At 42.1% G+C, this 2,360-nt stretch overlaps 1 annotated feature.

Moving 5' to 3' along the window:
* Nucleotides 355–484: an enhancer, noted in NCBI's record as "active region_27606". NCBI's record gives its function as "activates an Ori minimal core promoter by ATAC-STARR-seq in GM12878 lymphoblastoid cells {active_cell/tissue: GM12878}" and the evidence as "EXISTENCE:reporter gene assay evidence [ECO:0000049][PMID:35858748]".

Raw genomic sequence — 2,360 nt, 5'->3', positions numbered from 1 at the left:
ATTCTTGCCAATAACAGTTTCTGTAAGATACACATCAGATTTACTTACATTGAAAAGAAGAGCAGGGCCTGGTGTGAATCATTCCACTTGGATCACGCTTAAACTGCAGGGGAGGTGCCCTTCCCTTGAGCCCACATTAAAGAGCCTGGGAAATGGGTGTGAAGAATGAGAGGCTTTCGCTATTATCAGCTGGGTGCTGTGCAAACACAGCAACTGGTATTTCTATGTAAGTACACATGGAAAGAAAGGGAGAGAAATTTAGATGGCATATATAAGAGACATTTTTTTCTTTTTTCTTTTCTGTTTTTTTTTTGCTCATTACTCTTGAAAAATCAAAGACCACACAGAAACAAGCCAGTAGCACTGGAAATCCCCTTGTACTTGTCATTTTGTTTAGTCACTTATCAGGAGTCAGGGGAACAGTAGGCTGGAGGCAGACAGGACCAAGTACTTCCAGATTTAATGCAACCACTAGACAAGACAATCAAGAGGAAATGAAAAACTGGAGCCATTTCGTTTACTGGATAGCAGCTGACCTCACTCATCACTGGCAAGAAAAGGCATAGTGTCGCGGAAATGCCATAGTAGCTGGAGTCAGAAGACGTGAGATTGGCTGGCCATGGTAGCTCACACTTGGAATCCCAGCACTGTGGGTGGTTGAGGCCAGGAGTTCTAGGCTGTAGTCATCTATGATCACATCACTGCACCAAAAAAAAAAAAAAAAGGTCTGAGATTGAGCCTTGAGCTCTCCCACTCACTGGCATGTAGTCTTGGATAAATCCCTCTTACATCACTCTGAATGATCTGGTTTACCCATCTCAAAGATAAGGACAATTATACCATGAGCAGCAAAAATTTCATAGGGTTTGTTGTAGTAAATGAAATAAGATTAGCAAAGCTAATTTGTTATTATAATTTCAATAAAAAATAGACTCAAATGATTGTGGGAACTGCTCCATCTTTAATATTCACCATTTCAAACTAGAAAGATTTCCCCTAAATCTTCTTCCAAACATGTCCATACTCTAATCTTATTTCTTTTTGTAATTGGTTTGCTGAGCAGCGTTCTAATTGCCCATCATTTTTCTAGCCAGCTTTAGGGCAGCTGAGATGGCCAAACAGGGAACTGCAGTGTGTGACGGGGGGGATTTTAAGAACATTAGAGCAGAGCGTGTGTATGTGTATTTATTTTTCACAGCTTGTTTTGCTATGCTCATCAAGTGGCTCCTGTCTCTTTGTATTCGTCTACTGAGTATTTTTCCACATAAGTGATTTGCTGTGTAATTATCCTGGCCAACAACTACGTACAGTATGTCATGTTACTTAGCTGCTGCAAGCAAATCCTTTCCCACATCCTGGAAAAGGCTGACTCTTTAAAAAAAATCATTATGTGTATTTAAGATATGGAACATGATGTTATAAGATGCACATATACAGTAAAAAGGTCACTATAGTGGAACAAAGGAACATATCCATCGTCTCACACAGTTACTCCTTTATCCCCCTATGGCAAGAGTAGCTATAATCTACTCATTTAGAAAAAATCCTGAATATAACATTCTATTATTGACTATAGTCCTCACATTGTATATTAGATCTTTCCATTTGTTCATCGTATATATTTGCTAATTTGTATCCTTTGGCCTAATATCTTCCCAATTCCTATCCCACACTCCAACCCTGGTAATCACTGTTTTATTCTCTCTATGTCTGACTGCTTTAAAAAAATTCACAGAAAGCATTTGTGGAGGCTGAGCAAGATGGCTGAATAGAAGCCTCCACCAATAGTCTTCCCTGCAGGAACACCAACTTTAACAACTATCTACACAAAAAGCACCTTCATGACAAACAAGCAGGTGCATGATCATAGTACCTGGTTTTAACCTCACATTACCCAAAGAGGCACTGAATAGGATAAGAAAGACAGCCTTAAATTGCTGACAATGCTCTTCCAGCATTCCTCAGCAGCGGCCACATGGTACAAAGACAGCCTGTGCCCTTGGGGGTGGGAGAATGCAGCATCTGTGGACTTTGCATTGGAACTCGGTGCTACCTTGTCACAGTGAAAAGCAACACGGGACAGAACTCAGCCACCACCCATGGAGGGAGCATTTAGACCAGCCCTATCCAGAGCGGGTAGCCTATCCCAGTAGTCAGAACCTGTGTTCTGGCAAGCCTCGGCACTGTGGACTAAAGCGCTCTGGGTCCTAAATAAAGTTGAAAGGTAGTCTAAGCCGCAAGAACTGTGATTCCTGGGCAAGTCCTGGTGCTGTGCTGGGCGCAGAGTCAGTAGATTTGGCAGGCATATGACCTAGTGAGACACCAGCCCAGGTGGCCAAGGGAGTGTGTGTGTCACCCCT

This window comes from Homo sapiens, chromosome 8, assembly GCF_000001405.40.
Source record: "Homo sapiens chromosome 8, GRCh38.p14 Primary Assembly".
NCBI classification, from domain to species: domain Eukaryota; kingdom Metazoa; phylum Chordata; class Mammalia; order Primates; family Hominidae; genus Homo; species Homo sapiens.
The sequence above is the reverse complement of the archived record's forward strand: the minus strand, read 5'-3'. Positions and strand labels throughout refer to the sequence as shown.